At 42.8% G+C, this 23,292-nt stretch overlaps 1 protein-coding gene, 1 long non-coding RNA gene, 1 other non-coding gene and 1 pseudogene across 3 annotated transcripts; 2 read left to right on the top strand and 2 right to left on the bottom strand.

Annotated features, from left to right (window-relative positions):
* On the bottom strand, positions 5,283–7,123 carry SPZ1 (spermatogenic leucine zipper 1). Its single transcript, NM_032567.4, has one exon. It carries the CDS (start codon positions 6,907–6,909, stop codon positions 5,617–5,619), a length of 1,293 nt encoding a protein of 430 aa, NP_115956.3. The 5' UTR covers positions 6,910–7,123; the 3' UTR covers positions 5,283–5,616.
* Positions 11,104–11,503, bottom strand: RPL39P20 (ribosomal protein L39 pseudogene 20; annotated as a pseudogene).
* On the top strand, positions 17,623–18,648 carry LOC124901015 (uncharacterized). Its single transcript, XR_007058841.1, has 2 exons — positions 17,623–17,938; positions 18,361–18,648. It is a non-coding gene; the product is annotated as an uncharacterized LOC124901015 (long non-coding RNA).
* A 2,108-nt stretch (positions 18,649–20,756) lies between these two features.
* Positions 20,757–20,890, top strand: LOC124900204 (small nucleolar RNA SNORA31). The gene has a single exon (XR_007059153.1). It is a non-coding gene; the product is annotated as a small nucleolar RNA SNORA31 (small nucleolar RNA).
* The last annotated feature ends 2,402 nt before the right edge of the window (positions 20,891–23,292 follow it).

The following is a 23,292-nucleotide window of genomic DNA, read 5'->3' as shown; positions in this document are numbered from 1 at the left end:
ATTTTAAAAATAAAAAAAATTGTTTAAATAGTTAAGATGGTAAATTTAATGTTGTATATTGTTTTACCAAAATAAAAGAAAAATAAATTGAAAAAATGCAACAAAACAACTTTAAAAAAGGAAAATCAAGAAGGCGCCAGAAATCATTGAAATGAAATACTAAAAATAATGAAGATTAACGAAGCCAAAATCTGGGTTTTGTTAAAGATTAATAGGATACATCAAGAAAAAGGGAGAAGAGACAAATAAACAAAATAAGGTCTTTCCCTAGAAAAATCTGAGGACCATTGAACAGTACTTTCTTTTAAATAAGAAAAACCATTTAATATTTAAAATCAAAGCAAAATGTACATATCAGTATCTAATTCCTCATAAACTGAGGCTTCCTAACAGACCAGTGCAAACCAAAGCAATGTATGCTTCCCTGTGAGAGAAAATTTAATTAAATATGGATTAGTGGTCAGTGGTTTCCGCTGGAAGACTGTGTGATTGCTAGAAAAGAAAAACACTCAACTGGCTGTGACACTCCAATGATGATCTGCCTGAGGCCTTTATTAAGGTAAGAAAAATTTAAATGATTTTCTATATCAATCAAGTTTGTAGAATAACTTTATAAAAATAATAATATTGATGTGATAATGATGATAAATCCACTCCTCTGCCTCACACTAATCTAGGATAGCTGTCTTTTTAATGTAATACTTATCTTTCTTTTTACTTGCAACATACCAATGACCCCAACTTCCAGATATCCTGTGTGCCTGGGGTTTTTGCTATTGTTCCCTTCCTTTTTAGCCAGGCTTGCTTCTGATTAGTTTCTAATTCTCCCATTTAATCTATTCCTACTTCCCAGAGAGCAATAAGACCTCAGCTGAGGGAGCCAGAGAATCTTTGAACCATTTGTCCATGGTCCAAAAGAAAATTATTGTCACCACCTTTTAAATGAAGCAACTCAGACTGAAACAAGTTGAGACTTAGATTATCTCCCTGTTTGTGAAATGCTTCTTCCATTATTTCACCCTTACTTTATATATATATAAAGTGCCTCATACTTTCTTATTGGAAAGGTTAGAAAGGGCTCAAAGCATAGACAAGCAAAAAGGACTTGAAAACACCCATTGTACAACTTATAGACAATCAACCTAAATACTATGATGAATTTTTTCTGGATCAATTCAAGATAAATTAAAGAAATAAATGCGAAAGACAAGAAATTAAAAGGACTTTGGAAGGCTTTTATTCATGATATAAGGAAAGATTTCTTTCTATTTTTTTTTTTTTGAAATGGAGTCTCACTCTGTCTTCCAGGCTGGAGGGCAGTGGCGCGATCTCGGCTCACTGCAACTTCTGCCTCCCAGGTTCAAGCGATTCTCCTGCCTCAGCCTCCCAAGTAGCTGGATCTATAGGTGCATACCACCACACCCAGCTAATTTTTGTATTTTCAGTACAGACGGGGTTTTGCCATGTTGGCCAGGCTGGTCTTGAACTCCTGCCCTCGGGTGATCCACCTGCCTTGGCCTCCCAAAGTGCTGAGATTACAGGCATGAGCCACCGTGCCTGGCCAAGTGAACTACACAATTCTTTATTAATCAAGGTGCTTGGAGAATAGTGTGGAGGGTATCTCCATTTGAAGGAAAGACAGGTGGAAAGAAGTGTGTAATTTTTTTAAGGACCCCCAATATTATTTAAGTGTGGCAATCTCTTTTTATTTCACTAAGGGCTGTAACAAGAAAGTGTTGGCTTTTAGCTTTTGAATAAAGTGATACATATTCCAAACATAGAAAGCAATGTTGGTTTAGGAGTAGGGAGCAGTATTTCAGGTTGTCATTTTGGTACTTCCAACATATGAAAATCTCTTGTGCCCCCTGCTACATGTATAATAGAACCTGTGGTGGAGATTGTGATTGTCTTTGCTGGGTTGTTAATATTCATCTTTATGTTGCCCTGAATGCATACATGAAGTTTTTGCACCAGAGACAGATTATTATGATAATTACTGTGCTGGATTCCCTTGTCCTAGTTCTTATCCCTGGGGGGATGCAATAAGAACCAGATGTCATCCTCTATGTAATGAGGTCTGTACTGTAAGTGAGGAATTCTGAGAAAATGAAACTGAGCATTTATATAAAAGAGAAAGACAGCTGTCCTCCTCCCCTTCTAAAAGAAGAGAGAAAAAAGGAGGGGCACGGTGGCTCACACCTGTAATCCTAGCATTTTGGGAGGCCAAGGCGGGCGGATCACCTGAGGTCAGGAGTTCAAGACCAGCCTGACCAACATGGAGAAACCCCGTCTCTACTAAAAATACAAAATTAGTTGGGCATGGTGGTGGGCACCTGTAATCCCAGCTACTTGGGAGGCTGAGGCAGGAGAATCACTTGAACCTGGGAGGAAGAGGTTGCGATGAGCCAAGATTGTGCCATTGCACTCCAGCCTGGGCAACAAGAGCGAAACTCCATCTCAAAAAAACAAAAGAGGAAAAAAAAAAAACCCTTTACCCCTGGAAGGCAAGATGGAGAGGATCCTGGGTTCTCACTCCAACTTTTTGATTGATTGACTGATTGATTGAGACAGGGCTCACTCGGTCCCCTAGGCTGGAGTGCAGTGGCATGATCATGGCTCATTGCAGCCTCAACCTCCCAGGCTCAAGCAATCTTTCTATCTCAGCCTCCCAAGTAGCTGACACTACAAGCGTGTGCTGTCATGCCTGGCTAATTTTTGTAGTTTTTGTAGAGATGGGGTCTCCCTATGTTGCCCAGGCTGGTCTCAAACTCCTGGGTTCAAGCAATCCTCCCACCTTAGTCTCCTGAGTAGCTGAGACTACAGGTGTGCCCCACTATGCCTGGCTAATTTTTGTAGAGATGGGGGTCTCACTATATTGCCCAGGCTGGTCTCAAACTCCTGACCTCAAGTGATCCACCTGCCTCGGCCTCCCAAAGTGCTGGGATTACAGGTGTGAGCCACTGCACCCAGTCTCTCTGTCAACTTTCTCTGGGTCATCTCTGTGGTTCTATCTTCAAGTTCATAGAATCTTTTCTTTGACATCTATATTTTGTTATTGAGCACATTCGGTGAGGTTATATCATTTATATTTTTCAGTTCCATAATTTCCACTTATGTCTCTTTTATATTTATTTGCTGATACTTTCTATTTTTTCATTTGTTTCATGTTTGTAACTGTTCATGGACACATTTTTTTTTTTTTTTTTGAGATGGAGTTTCACTCTTGTTGGCCAGGCTGGAGTGCAATGGCATGATCTTGGCTCACTGCAACCTCTGCCTCCTGGGTTCAAGCAATTCTCCTGCCTCAGTCTCCCGAGTAACTGGGATTACAGGCATGTGCCATGACACCCAGCTAATTTTGTATTTTTAGTAGAGACGGGGGTTCTCCATGTTGGTCAGGCTGGTCTCAAACTCCCGACCTCAGGTGATCCACCCGCCTCGGGCTCCCAAAGTGCTAGCATTACAGGCGTGAGCCACCGCGCCTGGCCTGAAGCATTTTTATAATGACTGCTTTAAAATCCTTGTCAGATAACTCTATTGTCTGTGTTGTCCCATTGTTGGTATCTGTTAATTGTCTTTTCTCATTCAAGTTGAGATTTTTCTGGCTCTCAATATAATGAGTGATTTTTCTATTGTATTCTGGACATTTTAGGGATTGTTAGGAGACCCTGGATCTTAAGTCTTCTTTTTTAGTAGGGCCCTGCTGATGATGCCAGCAGGGAAAAGGAGTAGAAATCTAGGCTACTTACGTGGACTCCACTCTACTGGAGGGGTTGGGGGAGGCCAGGGAAGAGCACTGTTACCATCAGGTGGAGGATAGAACTTTAGGATCCCTACTCTTACCTCCTCTGCACCATCCCAGTAGAGTAGGGGAGGTGTGCCTCATGACTGCCAGGCAAGGATGAATGTCTAGGCTCTCTACTCAGTATCTGCCAACAGGGATGGGGGTAGAAATATGTTTCTATACAATTTGGCTGGATTAGGGCAGTTTTGTCAAAAAGGTTTCTGTCTCACCAGACTGTTCCTTTCCTCATCTGTTGACAAAAGAAAGCAGGCTTTATGGGGGAATTTTTTTGTCTACATGCATTGACATTTTTAGGTTGTGGACTTCTCCAGCACCTAGCTCAGAATATATAAGAGGCAAAAAGAAAACCCAGAGAACTAAGCACCATGTTGTTCCTTAAGTTTCAGGGTCCCTAACCATTCTACCTCCTTCTCTCCATCTTTCAGAATCTTCTTATATTTGCTTTATATATAATGTCCAGGGGTTTCAGCTTACTTAAAGAGAAGAATAGGGGAAAATTTATCAGCTCCATCTTTTCTGGAACCAGAAATCCAGCTCCCTTAACAGAAGATACTGTTTTTTCCCCCTGGGTAACACTACCGTCTATATCTGGAGGAATGGGAGAAACTTTTCCAGCAAAAATAAAATCTAGGCCGGCACGGTGGTTCACGCCTATAATCCCAGCACCTTGGGAGACCAAGGCAGGTGGATCACCTGAGGTCACGAGTTTGAGATCAGCCTGGCCAACATGGTGAAACCCCATCTCTACTAAACAATAAGAAAAATTAGCCGGGTGTGGTGTGGGCACCTGTAATCCTGCAACTCAGGAGGCTGAGGCAAGAGAATCGCCTGAACCTGGGAGGTGAAGGTTGCAGTGAGCTGAGATCGTGCCATTGCACTCCAGCCTGGGCAACAAGAGCAAAACTCCACCTCAAAAATATATAACACAATACAATACAATACAATACAAAAATAAAATAAAATAAATAAATAATAAAATAAAATATAAAATAAAATAAAATAAAATTCAGATATGTCTCTATTCTTCCAAACAAGTTGAGGGGGTCCTTCCCAAGGGCCTCTGCTGCCCCGTATGCCCACAGTTCACTAGCAGAGGAGCAAGGGAGGCACCTTAGGAAAAGTAGAGCCAGTGCAGATTTATAAGAGAAAAATGATTTGTTAGGGTTGGATTATCAGCATTTTTTAAATTCCCCCACATCCCACACTTCAGTGTATAATAGGAAAAGGAAACATACATTTAGAAAGGGAGCTTTAAAAGGTCACAACTAAAGCATTATGTACTTTTTTTTCACTTAATTTTTTTTTTAGAGATGGGATCTTGCTGTGTTGCTCAGGTTTGTCTCAAACTCCTGGCCTCGAGCGATCCTCCCACCTTGGCCTCCCAAAATGCCACTGCACCTGGCCAAAAACACTATATACTTTTTCCCCCCAGAACTCCCCCTGCCCCCAGGCAATGATTAAATAAAGAAAAAAAAAATTTCCCTTGTATTCTGGTTTTTATTTAGATCTTTACTTAATTGGACCTTTAACTTCTCACTCTAGGCTGTCTATCTAATAATTACAAAAAAAACAAGCAGATTGTAAAGGTGAAAAGTTATGAACTTGATGTAGACACAATGGTCATTAAAGACCAGACTTACATAACTGCTGAAGTAATGAGTAATATAAGTGTCAATCTCCTTATTCTATAGCTCTTTCTTGGTTGAACCAGCAGATCTGCCCAAGGTTTGATGATTGATCATGACTGACAAGTTGGAGGTAACAGATGTAGTTTTTTAAGGATTCACCTTTTCATCTGCTTTTGGTATTTTCTATCTTAGGCTGCTAGCTGACCTCATTTTTCCCCTAAGAGCTTTTCTTGCAACATGAATATTGAACTGGGTATTGCAAGCTTTCTTATTAAGACAAACATCCAGGCTTCTACAGGATCTGTCTTTTTTCCAAAATGTACCCTTCATTGCTTGCTTGTTCTGCTTATACATTTCTACTTTCTTTGCTTCTGATGGCTTCTGATTTTTCTTGTCCTGTTTATAGTTTATCTGAATTGGCTTCTCTTGCAGAGTTCCCTGTTTCTGATGATGGAGTTCCTTGAGAATCTCTACTCTCTGCTGTAAGATTTGGCATTCATTCTCTAGCAAAGCTGCCATCAACTGCAATGAATAGGTGTCATGGCTCAGTTTCTTCACCTGTTCCTCCAGCTCATGCTTAGCCGACACTTCATTATTTGGCTGGGTTTGGAAACCGACTCCATTATTTCCAAGAGTTTCACTTATGTCTTTCTGAGATTTCTGATAGGATTTTATCAGTTTACTGAGCTCAGTATGTTGTTTACTCCAGTGTTCTGCTTCCTGTAGTAACTGCTCCATGTTGTTCCTAATTTTCATAGTTTCTTCTTGAACATTAAGTCTGTTTTTTGCTTTTTCCTGACTTTGTTGAGTTTCGTTAAGGACTTTTTTTTCTTCTAAACGATTTACCAAATCTCTTGCAAAAACTTGTGCGGTGTTCTCAGAGTTCTGGTTTTCCATTATCATCTGCTGTTTCTTTTCATTGTCTTCTTTCTCTGGGGCTAAACTAACAGGCAGGTTTGTTGATAACATTTCATTGATTTTGTCAAGTCCTCTGATATTTTCTTTGTGGGCTGACACATCCTCAGTAATATTGGTTTCCAATATCATCTCCTGTTTCTTTTCATTGTCTTCTTTCTCTGGGGCTAAACTAACAGGCAGGTTTGTTGATAACATTTCATTGATTTTGTCAAGTCCTCTGATATTTTCTTTGTGGGCTGACACATCCTCAGTAATATTGGTTTCCTCAAAAAGTTCTTTTGCTTCTGTGATCTTCTCTTCAAAACCTGCCATATTTTTAAGAATATCTTTAATTTCTTTTAAGAGATTGTTAAACTTCTGTGCAGTCTGTTGTTCTGTAACTTGATGGCTGCTATTCTTTAGGAAAGGGAGAGAGCCCCAGGAGGAAGGGGAATGTGATCCAATTTCGAATAAGGCAATGGTAATCCTAGGGTCCAGATATTCTTGATGAGGATCAGGAGTAGGGTTAACGGTTTTGGAGATGGTGGGCATCTCAGCTGACTTAGCAGAGCTGGCCATCAGGACAGAAGGAAAGCAGAAAACTTTAGAGATTCCAGGAAGGACAGGTGATGGTCCTTTGTGCAAATGTGGGTGGAGACTGTGGAATCAAGCAGAAGTCAGAGACCAAAGTTAAGGATTAAAATTTGGGAGATGATGTTTAGGTGGAAGGTGGCATCTCAGACAGCCTTGTGGGGAGGAAGGGTGGGAAAGGGGACCAAGGCTGGGGCTCCATCTCTTCTCCTCTAGGCACCCGGTGTTTATTCTCTGGCCCTAGCAACCAGGTCTTTATTTTGTCACTGCACCATTGTGGCCTATCCATAGTGTCTGTCTCCTTTGTGTCACAATGGAAGCCTCTTAAATTCCTGCCCAGTGACTCCTGCATCAAAACCAACCTTGAGCTATCCCTACTCCTCATGCCAGAAAGAGCTCTACAATAGCTCTTCCCCTCCTTAATTTCTAGGTTGCTATTCATCTCAGTCTAAATGCACTCAGTTACTTCTCTACGTCACCTCTATCCCCTCACAATCCTGACCTCAACCGCAGCATGTTTTGACCACTTAAGGACATTGCTGAGACCAGTCCTCTCTGGTGAGGTCCCCATCCTTTCATAGCACCTAGAGGCTCTATTGCTCCCATTCTAGGAGAGATGTGACTGTAAGAGAAAGTTATCCACACAAAACAAAACCCTGAGAGTGACAGCCTTTTGTGATTTTAGGAAAGTAATGTCAGGAGTCCCTCCATTCAAAAATATTCTACTGCTCCAAGAAGGGACTATCTGAATGGTTATAATAGCAACACAATTACAAACTGGGACTTTTCTTGGCTTTGAATATAGGCATCCTTTAAGACAGGCTTGGCAAGCTTACTCACAAATCATTTACATCAGGTGATAGAAAACTTTGACTATTACTTTTCACAGTAACTTATTTGGGGATTTTTTTTTTGGCTCTTTTATTGATCCCCTAAGATTTCCACACTCTACACAGTAACTTGTTAAAATGACATAGTTATATTTCTAAAGTGTTTGATTAGAAGGGCATGGTAGTGTGTGCCTGTGGTCCCAGCTACTTGGGAGGCTGAGGCGAGAGGATCACTTGAGCCTGGGAGGTTGAGGCTGCAGTGAGCCATGACTGTGCTACTTAGTGCACTCCAGTTTGGGCAACACAGCAAGATCTATCACAAAAAATTAAAAAATTGGCCAGGTGCAGTGGCTCATGCCTGTAATCCCAGCACTTTGGGAGGCTAAGGCGGGCAGATCACTTGAGGCCAGGAGTTCAGGATCAGCCTGGGCAACATGACAAAACCCCATCTCTACTAAAAATGCAAAAATTAGCTGGGCATGGCAGCACACACCTGTAATCCCAGCTACTCAGAAGGCTGAGGCATGAGACTTGCTTGAACCCAGGAGGAGGAGGTTGCAGTGAGCTGAGATCGTGCCAGTGCACTCCAGCCTGGGTGACAGAACAAGACACTGCCTCAAAAAAAGAAATTAAAAATTAAAAAATAAAAAGCATTTGAAACAGGTAAATTCTCTAGTGGGTTATAGAAAGTAACAAGTTTATTAAACTTCTTGCATTTTAATAAGCTGCTTTCTTGTCTTTTTGTTCTTAGGAGTCAGGTCTTGTGAATATAGAACTCAATCAAAGAAACATTTCTTGTGTATGACTTTTTCCTGGCCTTCAAAATCTTGCTAGCAAGCACTTTAATAGAAATTTGCTTCCAGTCTTAAGGGAAAACTCATACTCAGGTTTTTTTTCCCCTAGAGAAGAGAAATTTATATGTTTTCTTTCTTCTCCAGTTACCAACTCATTTTGGCTCTAATTCCCCAGAGCCTCATGCTCATCTTTCAGCCAGCTGGGCTCCAGGCCATCGTCACTGACTACTCACAGATACAGCAGGGTTGGTCTCTGCTTTTACTTGAAAAAGGAACTCCTTTTCTAATTCACACAATGACAGCATAGATGCTAGCAACTGTCCTTATGCTTTAATTCCATCTTAGAAGTTCAGCATTGGTTCTTATTTCCCCCTTTGACTCAAGCATCATTTAAGACAATTTCTTAATCTCCAGCACAGGGGAATTTTTGATAATTAATTTCTAGCTTTATCATACTATATTCAGAAAATGTCTGTAATGTTTCTACCTTTTGAAATTGATATTTTCTTTCTGGCCTAATAGATTATCAGTGTTCATGTATGTTCCCTAGATATTAAAAAGAAAATGTATTCTCCATCCTCTTGTGCTTGCAGCTTTTTAATGCTGTCAGACATAAATCTAATATTGCTCTTGTCTTGATTTTTTTTTTTATGAAAACTGGTTTGAAGGTAGCATGGTCAAGATACGAAGATAATTTTTTTCTTTAATCTGAAAAGAGCCAGGCATGGTGGCTCACATCTGTAATCCTAACACTTTGGGAGGCTGAGGTGGGCGGATCACCTGAGATCAAGAATTCGAGACCAGCCTGGCCAACAGGGTGAAGCCCCGTCTCTACTTAAAAAAAAAAAAATTAGCCGGGCATGTGGCATGCACCTGTAATCCCAGCTACTCGGGAGGCTGAAGAAGGAGAATCGCTTGAACCCAGGAGGTGGAGGTTGCAGTGAGCCAAGATTGCACCACTGCACTCCAGTGTGGGCAACAAGAGTGAAACTCCATCTCAAAAAAAAAAAAAAGAAAGAAAGAAAAAAACAAAAACAAAAACAAAATCTGAAAAGGATTTAAATATTTCCTTTCCCCTACAACTAGAATGAATTCCAATTAACAGTTGTTAATTTTGTTGGAATGTGTTTACGTTAGGAACTGAAAGGTAAATAGATTTTGAGAAACAAGAGTGGTCCTCTTGTCTCTATTGACCCATATTCCCCAGTGGATAACCATGGAGGTTAAACACATTTGGACTGTTTTACAATTTCTATCCACTAAGTTTCACATAGCTTAATGACTCAAGAAAGAAAAAATTGGCTGGGCATCGTGGCTCATGCCACTCTGGGAGGCTGAGCTGGGAGGATCACTTGAGCCCAGGAGTTCAAGACCAGCCTGGGAAACATGGTGAAACCCCCGTCTCTACTAAAAATACAAAAATTAGCCAGGCATGGTGGCGCGTGTTTATAGTCCCAGCTACCTGGGAGGCTGAGGTGGGAGGATGGTGTGAGCCCGGAAGGTTGAGGCTGCAGTAAGCCGTAAGCATGCCACTGCACTCCAGCCCGGGTGACAGAATGAGACCCTGTCAAAAAAAAAAAGAAGAAGAAGAAGAAGAAAAGAAAAAAAAAACTGCAAAAAACTGTTTCTAAAATTGTTAAGGTGACAATTTGTGTCAAATTTTTCTTTCATTTTCTGTTTCTGGGGTGGGGGCAGTGTCTTGCTCTGTAGCCCAGGCTGGAGTGCAGTGGGGCAATCACGGCTCACCTACAGCCTCAGACTCCAAGGCTCAAGCAATCCTCCTGCCTCAGCCTCCTGAGTAGCTGGGACTACAGGCATGCACCACCACGCCTAGCTAGTTCTGGTTTGTTTTGTAGAGATGGGGATCTCACTATGTTGCCCTGGCTGGTCTCAAACTCCTCGGCTCATCTAGTCCTCCTGCCTCAGCCTCTCAAAGTGTTGGGATTACAGGCATGAGCCACTGTGTCTGGCCCAAATTTTTCTCTCTTTAAAACAAGATTGCCTTCAGCTACTCGGGAGGCTGAGGCAGGAGAATGGCGTGAACCCAGGAGGCGGAGCTTGCAGTGAGCCGAGATCGTGCCACTGCACTCCAGCCTGGGCGACTGAGCGAGACTCCGTCTCAAAAAAAGAAAAAACAAGATTGCCTTTACAAAAATATAAAATCAATGTTCTCCTTTAATACATTTGAATTTCAAAGTGAGTATCAAAATGTAGAATGTAGTCTGGGCACAGTGGCTCACGACTGTAATCCCAGCACTTTGGGAGGCCAAGGCAGGCTCATCACTTGAGCTCAGAAGTTCGAGACCAGGCTGCACAGCTTGGTGAAACTCCTTCTCTACTAAAAATACAAAAAATTAGCTGGGTGTGGTGGTGTGTGCTTGTAGCCCCAGCTACTCGAGAGGCTGATGTGGGAGGGTCACTTGAACCCAGGAAGTAGAGACCTCAGTGAGCCGAGATCACACCATTACACTGCAGCCTCAGAGACAGGAGTGAAACCCTGTCTCAAAAATAAATTAATTAAAAGAATAAAATATAGAATGTTTCATTCATTATTCTTTTTTAAATGAAAGGTCTCACATATTTATTACTCAACCCAGCCAACCAACAAGTTCATAACAGATTCAGAGAGAAAAAATATATTCCCAATAAAACGTCCAACTCTCCAGATAGTGGTGACATTTTCAGCTTGATATGGTAATGTGATTGTGAACTTCAGACAGCATAAATATGTGTGCCGTCTCATGTGCAATTCCTTATAGACCCAGCTTGGTTCTTCTCCAGTGTCTCCTTTTGGAGTTGTACGTGATTTTATTACCAGTTTTCATCCGAATCCACCGGGGAATGGGACGATTTTGCTTTTGTTTCTTAGCCAGGAATCACTTAATCCTGAAAGTCTTGTGAGAAGACATGGTGAGAAGCGGAGTCAAGCACACACCACGATGGTGGAGAAAGGAAGAGCTCATTCATGACTCTTTTGGTACCAAGTGACAGAGACTAAACTCCAACTGGCTTAAGCCAAATAAACTGAGGCAGAAAGGGTGGAAGGTTGAGAGTATCAATGACTCATGCTTAACATGGTTAAGTTAAACAAGAAACCTATGGTTTCTGACATACCTAGTTTCAGGGGCTGAGGTTATACAATTAGGGCTGGACCTCACCATTTCTGAGTTGTCTCTCTCTGTGCCTTCATTCTTAGGATTCTTTCTCTACATGGTGGTATCAGGTAGCTCCAGGTTTATATCCTAGAAATTGAACAATCCCAGAGGAAAACAAATTTATCTTTCACTATAGTTATAGCAAAAGTGCCAAGGAAGGCACTGATTGGCCCTGGTGGGTCATGTTCTCATGGAGTTTTGGGGTGGGTCAGCCCAAGAACTGGACCAGGGATGAAGTGGCATGATGGGGGGCAGTTATTAGAAAACAGGGGAATGTGGTCGGGCATGTTGGTTCACACCTGTAATCCCAGCATTTGGGGAGGCTGAGGCCACAGATCAACTGAGGTCAGGAGTTCAAGACCAGCCTGGCCAACATGGGGAAATGCTGTGTCTATTAAAAATACAAACATTAATTTTTATTGATTTGCATATGTTGAACCAGCCTTGTATCCCAGGGATGAAGCCCACTTGATCATGGTGGATAAGCTTTTTGATGTGCTGCTGGATTCGGTTTCCCAGGATTTTATTGAGGATTTTTGCATCGATGTTCATCAGCGATATTGGTCTAAAATTCTCTTTTTTTGTTGTGTCTCTGCCAGGCTTTGGTATCAGGATGATGCTGTCCTCATAAAATGAGTTAGGGAGGATTCCCTCTTTTTCTATTGATTGGAATAGTTTCAGAAGGAATGGTACCAGCTCCTCCTTGTACCTCTGGTAGAATTCGGCTGTGAATCCATCTGGTCCTGGACTTTTTTTGGTTGGTAGGCTATTAATTATTGCCTCAATTTCAGAGCCTGTTATTGGCCTATTCAGGGATTCAACTTCTTCCTGGTTTAAAACAGCATGGTACTGGTACCAAAACAGAGATATAGACCAATGGAACAGAACAGAGCCCTCAGAAATAATACCACACATCTACAACCATCTGATCTTTGACAAACCTGACAAAAACAAGAAATGGGGAAAGGATTCCCTATTTAACAAATGGTGCTGGGAAAACTGGCTAGCTATATGTAGAAAGCTGAAACTGGATCCCTTCCTTACACCATATACGAAAATTAATTGACGATGGATTAAAGACTTAAATGTTAGACCTAAAACCATAAAAACCCTAGAAGAAAACCTAGGCATTACCATTCAGGACATGGGCATGGGCAAGGACTTCATGTCTAAAACACCAAAAGCAATGGCAACAAAAGCCAAAATTGACAAATGGGATCTAATTAAACTAAAGAGCTTCTGCACAGCAAAAGAAACTAACATCAGAGTGAACAGGCAACCTACAGAATGGGAGACATTTTTTGCAATCTACTCATCTGACAAAGGACTAATATCCAGAATCTACAAAGAACTCGAACAAATTTACAAAAAAAAAACAACCCCATCAGAAAGTGGGCGAAGGATATGAACAGACACTTCTCAAAAGAAGACATTTATGTAGTCAACAGACACATGAAAAAATGCTCATCATAACTGGTCATCAGAGAAATGCAAATCAAAACCACAATGAGATACCCTCTCACACCAGTTAGAATGGCGATCATTAAAAAGTCAGGAAACAACAGGTGCTGGAGAGGATGTGGAGAAATAGGAACACTTTTACACTGTTGGTGGGACTGTAAACTAGTTCAACCATTGTGGAAAACAGTGTGGCGATTCCTCAAGGATCTAGAACTAGACATACCATTTGACCCAGCCATCCCATTACTGGGTATATACCCAAAGGATTATAAATCATGCTGCTATAAAGACACATGCACACGTATGTTTATTGCGGCACTATTCACAATAGCAAAGACTTGGAACCAACCCAAATGTCCATCAATGATAGACTGGATTAAGAAATGTGGAACATATACACCATGGAATACTATGCAGCCATAAAAAATGATGACATAAAAAAGTTCATGTCCTTTGTAGGGACATGGATGAAGCTGGAAACCATCATTCTCAGCAAACTATCACAGAGACAAAAAACCAAACACCGCATGTTCTCACTCATAGGTGGGAATTGAACAATGAGAACACTTGGACACAGGAAGGGGGACATCACACACTGGGGCCTCTCATGGGGTGGGGGAAGGGGGGAGGGATAGCATTAGGAGATATACCTAATGTAAATGATGAGTTAATGGATGCAGCACACCAACATGGCACATGTATACATATGTAACAAACCTGCACGTTGTGCACATGTACCCTAGAACTTAAAGTATAATTTAAGAAAAATAGCAAAAAAGATACAAAAATACAAAAATTAGCCGAGCATGATGGTGGGCACCTGTAATCCCAGCTACTCGGGAGGCTGTGGGCAGGAGAATCGCTTGAACCTGAGAGGTGGATGTTGCAGTGAGCCAAGATCATGCCACTGCACTCCAGCCTGGGCAACAGAATAAGACTCCATCTCATGCACACACACACACAAAAGGAAAATAGGGGAATGAGTGTCTGTCTGGCAAAACCAACAGATGCCTACCACATTGTGCCTACAACAGAATAATAGCACAAACCTCTGCTTTCTATCCAAATTAAAGATACTCTGTACCCCTTGGAGATTCTGATATCTCTCCTATAAGACTTGTGTAACCAGGCCAGGCACAGTGGCTCATGCCTGTAATCCCAGCACTTTGGGAGGCCAAGGCAGGCGGATCACCTGAGGTCAGGAGTTTGAGACCAGCCTGACCAACATGGAGAAACCCTGTCTCTGCTAAAAATACAAAAATTAGCCGGGCATGGTGGTGCATGCCTGTAATCCCAGCTACTCAGGAGACTGAGGCAGGAGAATTGCTTGAATCCGGGAGACAGAGGTTGCAGTGAGCCGAGATCGCCCCATTGCACTCCAGCCTGGGCAACAAGAGCAAAACTCTGTCTCTAAATAAAATAAAATAAAATAAAAAAGACTTGTGCAACTGATAATTACCCTTGATAATAATCGCTTATATTATTAACTCAGAGATAATCCTTTTTTATGTGGGAATCATTTTTTAACCTTTTATTTTGAAAAATTTTAGATTTAGAGAAAAGCTGAAAAAATAGTACAGAGAGTTCCCATGTATCCTTCACCCAATATCGCCTAAGTTTAACTTCTTATGTAATTATAGTACAATTATCAAAACTAACTTCAGCACGATGCTACTAAATAAACTACAGATTTTACTGGGGTTTCACCAGTTTCCTCTCTAATGTTCTTTTTCTGTTCTAGGATCCCACACTGCATTTAGTCATGTCTAGTTTCCTCAGTGACAGGTCTCAATCTTTTCCTATTTTTCATGACACTTCTGAAGAGTACTCCTCAGTTATTTTGTAGAATTTCAATTTTCAGACCATTTTCCCTTTAGAATGACTACCTACAAATGCACTACTACATCTAAAAACATCATACAAATAATGATGATGAAAATTACACCTTGCATAGAATCCTTGTAAACATCAAGACTCTAACCCTTGAATGGTCACAACCAATCAGTTATTCTTCTTTGGTTTTAAAAAAAAAACCTATTAAACAGGCCAGGTGCGGTGGCTCACGCCTGTAATCCCAGGACTTTGGGAAGCCGAGACAGGTGGATCACGAGGTCAGGAGATCGAGACCATCCTGGCTAACACAATGAAACCCCGTCTCTACTAAAAATACAAAAATTAGCCAGGCGTGGTGGCGGGCGCCTATAGTCCCAGCTACTCAGGAGGCTGCGGCAGGAGAATGGCGTGAACCCAGGAGGCGGAGCTTGCAGTGAGCCACTCCAGCCTGGGCGACAGAGGGAGACTCCGTCTCTGGAAAAAAAAAACAAACCAAACAAACTATTAATTACATAAAATTTATATATATATATGTATATTTTGGAGTCAGGATCTGGAGTGCAGTGGTGTGATCATAGCTCACTGCAGACTCAAACTCTTAGGCTCAAGCCATCCTTCCACCTCAACCTCTTGAGTCACTGGGATTACAGGCATACACCACCATGCCCAACTCAAATGTTTTTCATTATACCAAAAACTTTTCATCATATTAAAATTAATCAAACATATTTGAGCAATAAAATACATGATTGTATTGGATTATAACCTAAATAATAAAATAAATATCTAGCCAGGTGCAGTGAGTGGCTCACGCCTGTAATCCCAGCATTTTGGGAGACCGAGGTGGCGGATCACCTGAGGTCGGGAGTTGAAGACCAGACTGACCAACATGGAGAAACCCCGTCTTTACTAAAAATACAAAATTTGCTAGGCATGGTGGCGCATGCCTGTAATCCCAGCTACTTGGGAGGCTGAGGCAGGAGAATCGCATGAACTGGGGAGGAGGCAGGAGAATCGCTTGAACCTGGGAGGTGGAGGTTGCAGTGAGTGCAGGAAGCCGAGATCGTGCCATTGCACTCCAGCCTTGGCAACAAGAGTGAAACTCTGTCTCAAAAAAAAAAAAAAAAAAAATTCTATGAAACCATAGGTTGTTGAATGAGTAAATAACTAAATACAGGAAAAGAGACACTTCTTTACCAAATAATTCCCATTAATATATAGGAAAGGAATGAGGAAAACAGAAACCATCCTTAGAACACCACTGTAATAATTGTTACAGGCAAGATCCACCTATGAGTACTAAAATTAGGAGAGAGAAACAGGATATTTGCATAGTCTCAAAATGTCTCCCCATAGTCTCAAAGTAATTAACAAGATGTTTGTTAAATACAAACGAAAAGATAGTAACTTCATAGTGGATAAACCCAGTAGATAGCTGTCTTAATGATCAAAGCTAACATAACCAGAAATTAGACATATTGACATAATGTACCCTTTTGTATTGATATAGGAGTTTAAAAAGAAATTACTTAGGCAGATAGGATACAGAAATCCTGGGTAAGGTTTCCCTTTTAATGAAAAGCAGCCCCAGGGCCGGGCACGGTGGCTCATGCCTGTAATCCCAGTGAGAGGTGACAACATGCTGGCATCCCTCACTCACTCTCAGGGCCTTCTCAGCCTTGGCGCCCACTCTGGCCGTGCTTGAGGAGCCCTTCAGCCCGCCACCACACTGTGGGAGCCCCTCTCTGGGCTGGTTGGCTCCCTTTGCTTGCAGAGAGGTGTGGAGGGAGAGGCGCCAGTGGGAACCAGGGCTGCACGAGTTCCGGGTGGGCACGGACTCAGTGGCCCCACACTTGGAGCGGCCAGCCAGCACCGCCAGCCCCCAGCAGTGAGGGGCTTAGCACCCAGGCCAGCAGCTGCAGAGAGTGAGCCAGGTCCCCCAGCACTGCCAGCGCACCCGTGCTGCGCTCGAATTCTCGCCAGGCCTCAGTGGCCTCCCGCCCGGGGCAGGGCTCGGGACCTGCAGCCCACCATGCCTGAGCCTCCCGTGGTGGGCTCCCACGCGGCCGAGCCTCCCCAACGGGCACCGCGCCCTGCTCTGCGGTACCCGGTCCTATCTACCGCCCAAGGGCTGAGGAGTGCAGGCGCCTGGTGCGGGACTGGCGGGCAGCTCAGCCCATGGCCCTGGCACGGGATCCACTAGGCGAAGCCAGCTGGGCTCCTGAGTCAGGTGGGGACTTGGAGAACTTTTATGTTTAGCCAGAGGATTCTATATGCACCAATCAGCACTCTGCGTCTAGCTCGGGGTTCGCGGATGCACCAATCAGCACTCTGTATCTAGCTAATCTGGTGGGGACTTGGAGAACTTTTATGTCTAGCTGGAGGATTGTAAACGCACCAATCAGCACCCTGTGTCTAGCCCAAGGTTTGTAAACGCACCAATCAGTGCTCTGTGCCCAGCTAATCTAGTGGGGACTTGGAGAACTTTTGCGTCTAGCTAAAGGATTGTAAATGCACCAATCAGCACCCTGTCAAAACAGACCAATCAGCTCTCTGTAAAATGGACCAATCAGCAGGATGTGGGTGGGGCCAGATAAGGGAATAAAAGCAGGCTGCCCTAGCCAGTAGTGGCAACCCACTCAGGTCCCCTTCCGCGTTGCGGAAGCTTTGTTCTTTCGCTCTTTGCAATAAATCTTGCTGCTGCCTTTATGAGCTGTATCACTCACCGTGAAGATCTGCAGCTTCACTCCTGAAACCAGTGAGACCACAAACCCACCAGAAGGAAGAAACTCTGAACACGTCCGAACATCAGAAGGAACAAACTCCGGACACACCATCTTTAAGAACTGTAACACTCACCGCGAGGGTCCGTGGTTTCATTATTGAAGTCAGCGAGACTAAGAACCCACCAATTTCGGACACACCAGCACTTTGGGAAGCCGAGGTGGGTGGATCACCTGAGGTTAGGAGTTTGAGACCAGCCTGACCAACATGGTGAAACCCTGTCTCTACTAAAAATACAAAAAATTAGCCGGGCGTGATAGCAGGCGCCTGTAATCCCAGCTACGCAGGAGGCTGAGGCAGGAGAATCGCTTGAAGCCAGGAGGCAGAGGTTGCAGAGAGCTGAGATTCCCACCACTGCACTCCAGCTTGGGTGTGACAGAGCAAGACTCCGTCTTAAGAAAAAAAAAAAAGCAGCCCCCAAATCATTTCCCTTTCTAACAAAGAGCAGCCTGTAAAATCGAGCTGCAGACAGCAGCAAGCTGGAAGCGTGCACGGGTGAATGCCAGCAGTTGTGCCCATAGGAATATATGACCTAGGACTAGGAATGTTCAAAATGGTGGCTCTGTCTTCTCTTTTTGCCAGCCACGTGTACCATAAGGAACAGACAAGATGGCGCCAGCCCAGTGGAAAGCTCATTTGCATAACAAGATTAGGGTGGGGCGACCAGCTTTCCCCGGCCTCTATGTAAGTGTCACACCTGGTCAAACCAATATGTGAGCCCGGGTAAATCACACGCTGCCGCCTTCTCAAGCCTGCCTATAAAATCTGCGGCAATCAGCTGCTATTCTCTGTTTTCCAGCCTCTGTCACCCAAGGAGCTGCTCTCCTCTTTCCTTTCTTCTACCTATTAAACTTTACACTCCTTAACCCACCCACATGTCCCTGTCCTTAATTTTCTTGGCGCAAGATGACGAACCCCAGGTGTTTACCACAGACGATGCTGCTTCAAAATGATACACTAAGAACTTACCACTTCTGTGGCATTTTTACCAAAATTGCATCACCTCAATCTAATAATGATTAGAAATAAGACAAACACAAATAGATATAAACTGTTATTATTGTGTTTTATGCCCAATGTGGTAGGCATCTGTTGGTGCCTCTGACAGAGTCATTTCTCATATGAAAAACTTTAATATGGAAATGTTTTGGTATAATAAAAAATTTATTTTATGTAATTGTTTAATAGGTTTCTTTAAAACCAAAGAATAATAGCTGGCAGGGCATGGTGGCTCACACCTGTAATCCTATTACTTTGGGAGGCTGAAGTGGGAGGATCTCTTGGGTACAGGAGTTCGAGACCAGCCTGGGCAACATAGTGAGATGTTATCTCTCCAAAATAAATAAATAAATAAATAAATAAATAAATAAATAAAAAGAGAGAATAATAGCTGCTGATTGGTGATAACTATCCAAGGGTTAGAGTCTTTACATTCGCAAGGAATTCTATGCAGGGTGAGATTTTAAGCATAATTTTATGATGCGTTTAGATGTAGTAGTGCACCTATAGGTAGCCAGTTTAGAGGGGAAATTATCTGAAAATTGAAATTTTTATTCAAAAATCAAAACATACAGAATCTCCTTTCCGGAGCGTGTCCTTTTCTGTAACCACCAGGTGGTGCTATGAGCTTTAAAAATTACTCTACAAATGTTACTTTTTGTTTGTTTTTTTTTTTTTTTTTTTTGAGACGGAGGAGTCTCACTCTGTCGCCCAGGCTGGAGCGCAGTGGCGCGATCTCGGCTCACTGCAAGCTCCGCCTCCCGGGTTCATGCCATTCTCCTGTCTCAGCCTCCCGAGTAGCTGGGACTACAGGCACCCGCCACCACGCCCGGCTAATTTTTTGTATTTTTTTTTTAGTAGAGACGGGGTTTCACCATGTTAGCCAGGATGGTCTCGATCTCCTGACCTCGTGATCAACCCGCCTCAGCCTCCCAAAGTGCTGGGATTACAGGCGTGAGCCACCGCGCCCGGCCACAAATGTTACCTTTTTAGGTGGCATAATACCTGAACTCTATAAAGTGGAACCTTAGTGATATTCTCATCCAAAGTCTTTTTTCTTTTTTCTAAGAGACTTGCCCAACGTTACAGCTAGTTATGATGAGAGTTGGGATCAGAGTCCAAGTCTCCTGCCTCTTTAAAGTTGCTGGAGAGGCAGGTTCTGCAGACAGGAGGCTACAGAAGAATTTTTAAAAATACCTGCTAAGTGTTATACAGAAAAGGGATTATGAGGCCAGGTGCAGTGGCTCACGCCTGTAATCCCAGCACTTTGGGAGGTCGAGGTGGGTGGATCACCTGAGGTCAGGAGTTCGAGACCAGCCTGGCCAATATGGTGAAACCCCATCTCTACTAAAGATACAAAAATTAGCTGGATGTGGTGGCACTCACCTGTAATCCCAGCTACCTGGGAGGCTGAGGCAGGAGAATCACTTGAACCTGGGAGGCAGAGGTTGTGGTGAGCCGAGATGGCACCACTGCACTCAGCCTGGGCAACAGAGTGAGACGCTGTCTCAAAAAAAAAAAAAAAAGAAAGAGGATTATGAGGAAGAGCAGGCTTTCAACACTGATGGGACTGGCTTGTTTTACAAGGGCACTGGCAAACAAACCTATGTAACACAAATGGCATTTCAACTGACAAAAATGTTGAGACCGGAGGCTCACAAGAACCTCACTGTGTATTGCTCCAAAAGCTATAGTAATCACTAGTTCAATGTTTGGAGTGACTTCATAGATTGTGATTGCTGCAAATGATGAGAATCAACTCTACATAGAAATAAATGTAACAAAAGAAGTGCAATACTTCTGAAAACTCTAAAACAGTGTTGAACGATATTAAAACTTCAAATAAATGGAAAAATATCTCACTTTCATGGATTTGGAGACTTAATATTGTTAAGATAGCAATATTTCCTAAATTGATTCACTGATTCAACATAATCCCTTTCAAAATCCCAGCTGCCTCTTGCCAAAATTGACAAGCTATACATCTGTTTGACAGACCTAGTGCAATTACTGGGTGCTGCTAAGGTTCTCACTACAGATGCAAGAAAAAGGTGTCATTGTCCTTTCTGTCTGTCTTATTGTGGTAGCCAAGACTGAATAGAGGAAAACAGAGGAAAAATATGGACAGAGAAGTTTCGCAGATCAGAAATAACCTTGTAAACAGTGAAGAGCCTGTTTTACTCCAAACAAGAACCCAAAATTTGAGTATACATGAGAAGTGTTGAGAAATACCTCCTACCACCCTCACCTGGTTGATTACACTTAAGTAAAAGCTTGAAGGTTAAGACAATGAAAAGCAAGCCAGTTGGGGACTGTGGGGGGAAGAAATCGACAAGCTGATCCTAAAATTCATATGGAAATTCAAGGGATCTAGAATAACCAAAGCAATCTTGGAAAAGGAGAATGAAGTAGGAAGGCTCATATTCACTGACAGTGATCAAGGCAGTGTGAAAGGATAGACACATAAAGTCAGGCACAATGGCTCACGCCTGTAATCCCAGCACTTTGGGAGCCCAAGGAGGGTGGATCACCTGAGGTCAGGAGTTTGAGACCAGCCTGGCCAACATGGTGAAACCCCATCTCTACTAAAAATACAAAATCAGCCAGCTGTAGCGGCATATGCATTTGATCCCAGCTACTTGGGAGGCTGAGGCAGGAGAATTGCTTGAACCTGGGAGGCAGAGGTTGCAGAGAGCCAAGGTCGTTCCATTGCACTCCACCCTGGGCAACAAGAGCGGAAACTCCGTCTCAAAAAAAAAAAAAAGAAAGGACAGACACATAAACCAGTGAAACAAAAGAGAGAGCTCAGAAATAGAACCACACTAATATAGTCAACTGATTTTTATCAAAGATAGAAAGGCAATTCAATGAAGAAATAGTCTTTTTCAGCAAATGGTGATGAACAAATTGGACATCTATATGCAAAAACAATAAACTTTGACACATATCTCACACCTTAGACGAAAATTAACTTTAAATGAATCATAGATTTAAATATGAAATACAGGCCGGGCACGGTGGCTCACGCCTGTAATTTCAACACTTCAGGAGCCTGAGGTGGGCGGGTTGCCTGAGCTCAGGAGTTCGAGACCAGCCTGGGCAACATGGCAACTCCCAGCTACTTGGGAGGCTATGGTGGGAAGATCGCTTGAGCCCAGGGGGGCGGAGGTTGCAATGAGCAGAGATCGTGCCACTGCACTCCAACCTGGGTGACAGAGAGAGACCCTGTCTCAAAAAAAAAAAAAAAAAATTAAATATGAAATACAAAGCTGTAAACGGCTAGAAGAAAACACAGGAGAAAGTCTTTGTGACTCCTGATTTGGCAATGACTTTTTAGATACAATACCAAAAGCATAATCTATGAAAGAAAGATTTAATAAATTGGACGTTCTAGAAATTAAAAACTTTCACTTGTGAAAGACATTGTGAACAAAATGACAAGCCACAGACTGGAAGAAAAAATTGCAAATTACGTATAAAATCTGCCTATAAAATCTTCTGCAGTAGATTTTGGTATATATGATCCTACACCAAAAATAACATTCTCAGACTCTGAACCAAGTGAATGGACCCCCATCAGCCAAGGGCATTCCAAAGGAGGCCTGAAAAACTATTTCAGGCCGTGATGGGAAGAAGGGATTTGTTGAAGTGATTGCCTCGTTATACCCTCTCTCCTTGGAATTTAGGCACAGCTGACCAGCATTAACATTAAAACAGAGCTTTTAAACTGTCAGCTAACAAAGCTGACTCTTCGTAGCAATAATACACCAAATTCCAACCTGACTCTAGTATAACATCACATGCCAGATAGCAGGCCCTGAAAGTGAAGTATTTTACCCTGAAATATATATTTTTTGGGTTTTTTTTGTTTTTGTTTTTGAGATGGAGTCTCTGTCACCAGGCTGGCATGCGGTGGCATGATCTCGGCTCACTGCAACCTCTGACTCCCTGGTTCAGGTGATTCTCCTGCCTCAGCCTCCCGAGTAGCTGGGATTACAGGCACGCACCACCACGCCTAGCTAATTTTTGTATTTTTATTAAAGACTGGGTTTCACCATGTTGGCCAGGATGGTCTCAATCTCCTGACCTCGTGATCCACACGCCTCGGCCTCCCAAAGTGCTGGGATTACAGGTGTGAGCCACCGTGCCCGGCTTCCTTGATGTATTTTTTAAATGGCCCTGCAAAACGACTCTTATGGGGGAAATCTACATTCTGTAGAGAACCTCCTTCCCTTTCCAGAACTTTTCCTGACTCAGGAGAGATTAACTAAGAGTCTAGCACCTTTTTTTTGAGACAGGGTCTCACTCTATCACCCAGGTTGGAGGGCAGTGGTGCAATCTCAGCTCACTGCAGCCTCGATTTCCTGGGCCTCGGGTGATCCACCTACCTCGGCCTCCCAAAGTGCTGGGATTACAGGCATGAGCCACCGCACTTGGCCAACCGCTTATCTTAATCCAGAGTTCCTTTCTGTTGATTCCAGGTCTTTAGATAATAACATAATTTTTTTCAACCAA

The sequence above is a fragment of the Homo sapiens genome, chromosome 5, assembly GCF_000001405.40.
Source record: "Homo sapiens chromosome 5, GRCh38.p14 Primary Assembly".
Taxonomy (NCBI): domain Eukaryota; kingdom Metazoa; phylum Chordata; class Mammalia; order Primates; family Hominidae; genus Homo; species Homo sapiens.
The sequence above is the reverse complement of the archived record's forward strand: the minus strand, read 5'-3'. Positions and strand labels throughout refer to the sequence as shown.

What these genes read in the sequence shown, in the direction of transcription:
- SPZ1 (NM_032567.4), bottom strand. Translation starts at nt 6,909, where the DNA reads ATGGCCAGCTCTGCTAAGTCAGCTGAGATGCCCACCATCTCCAAAACC.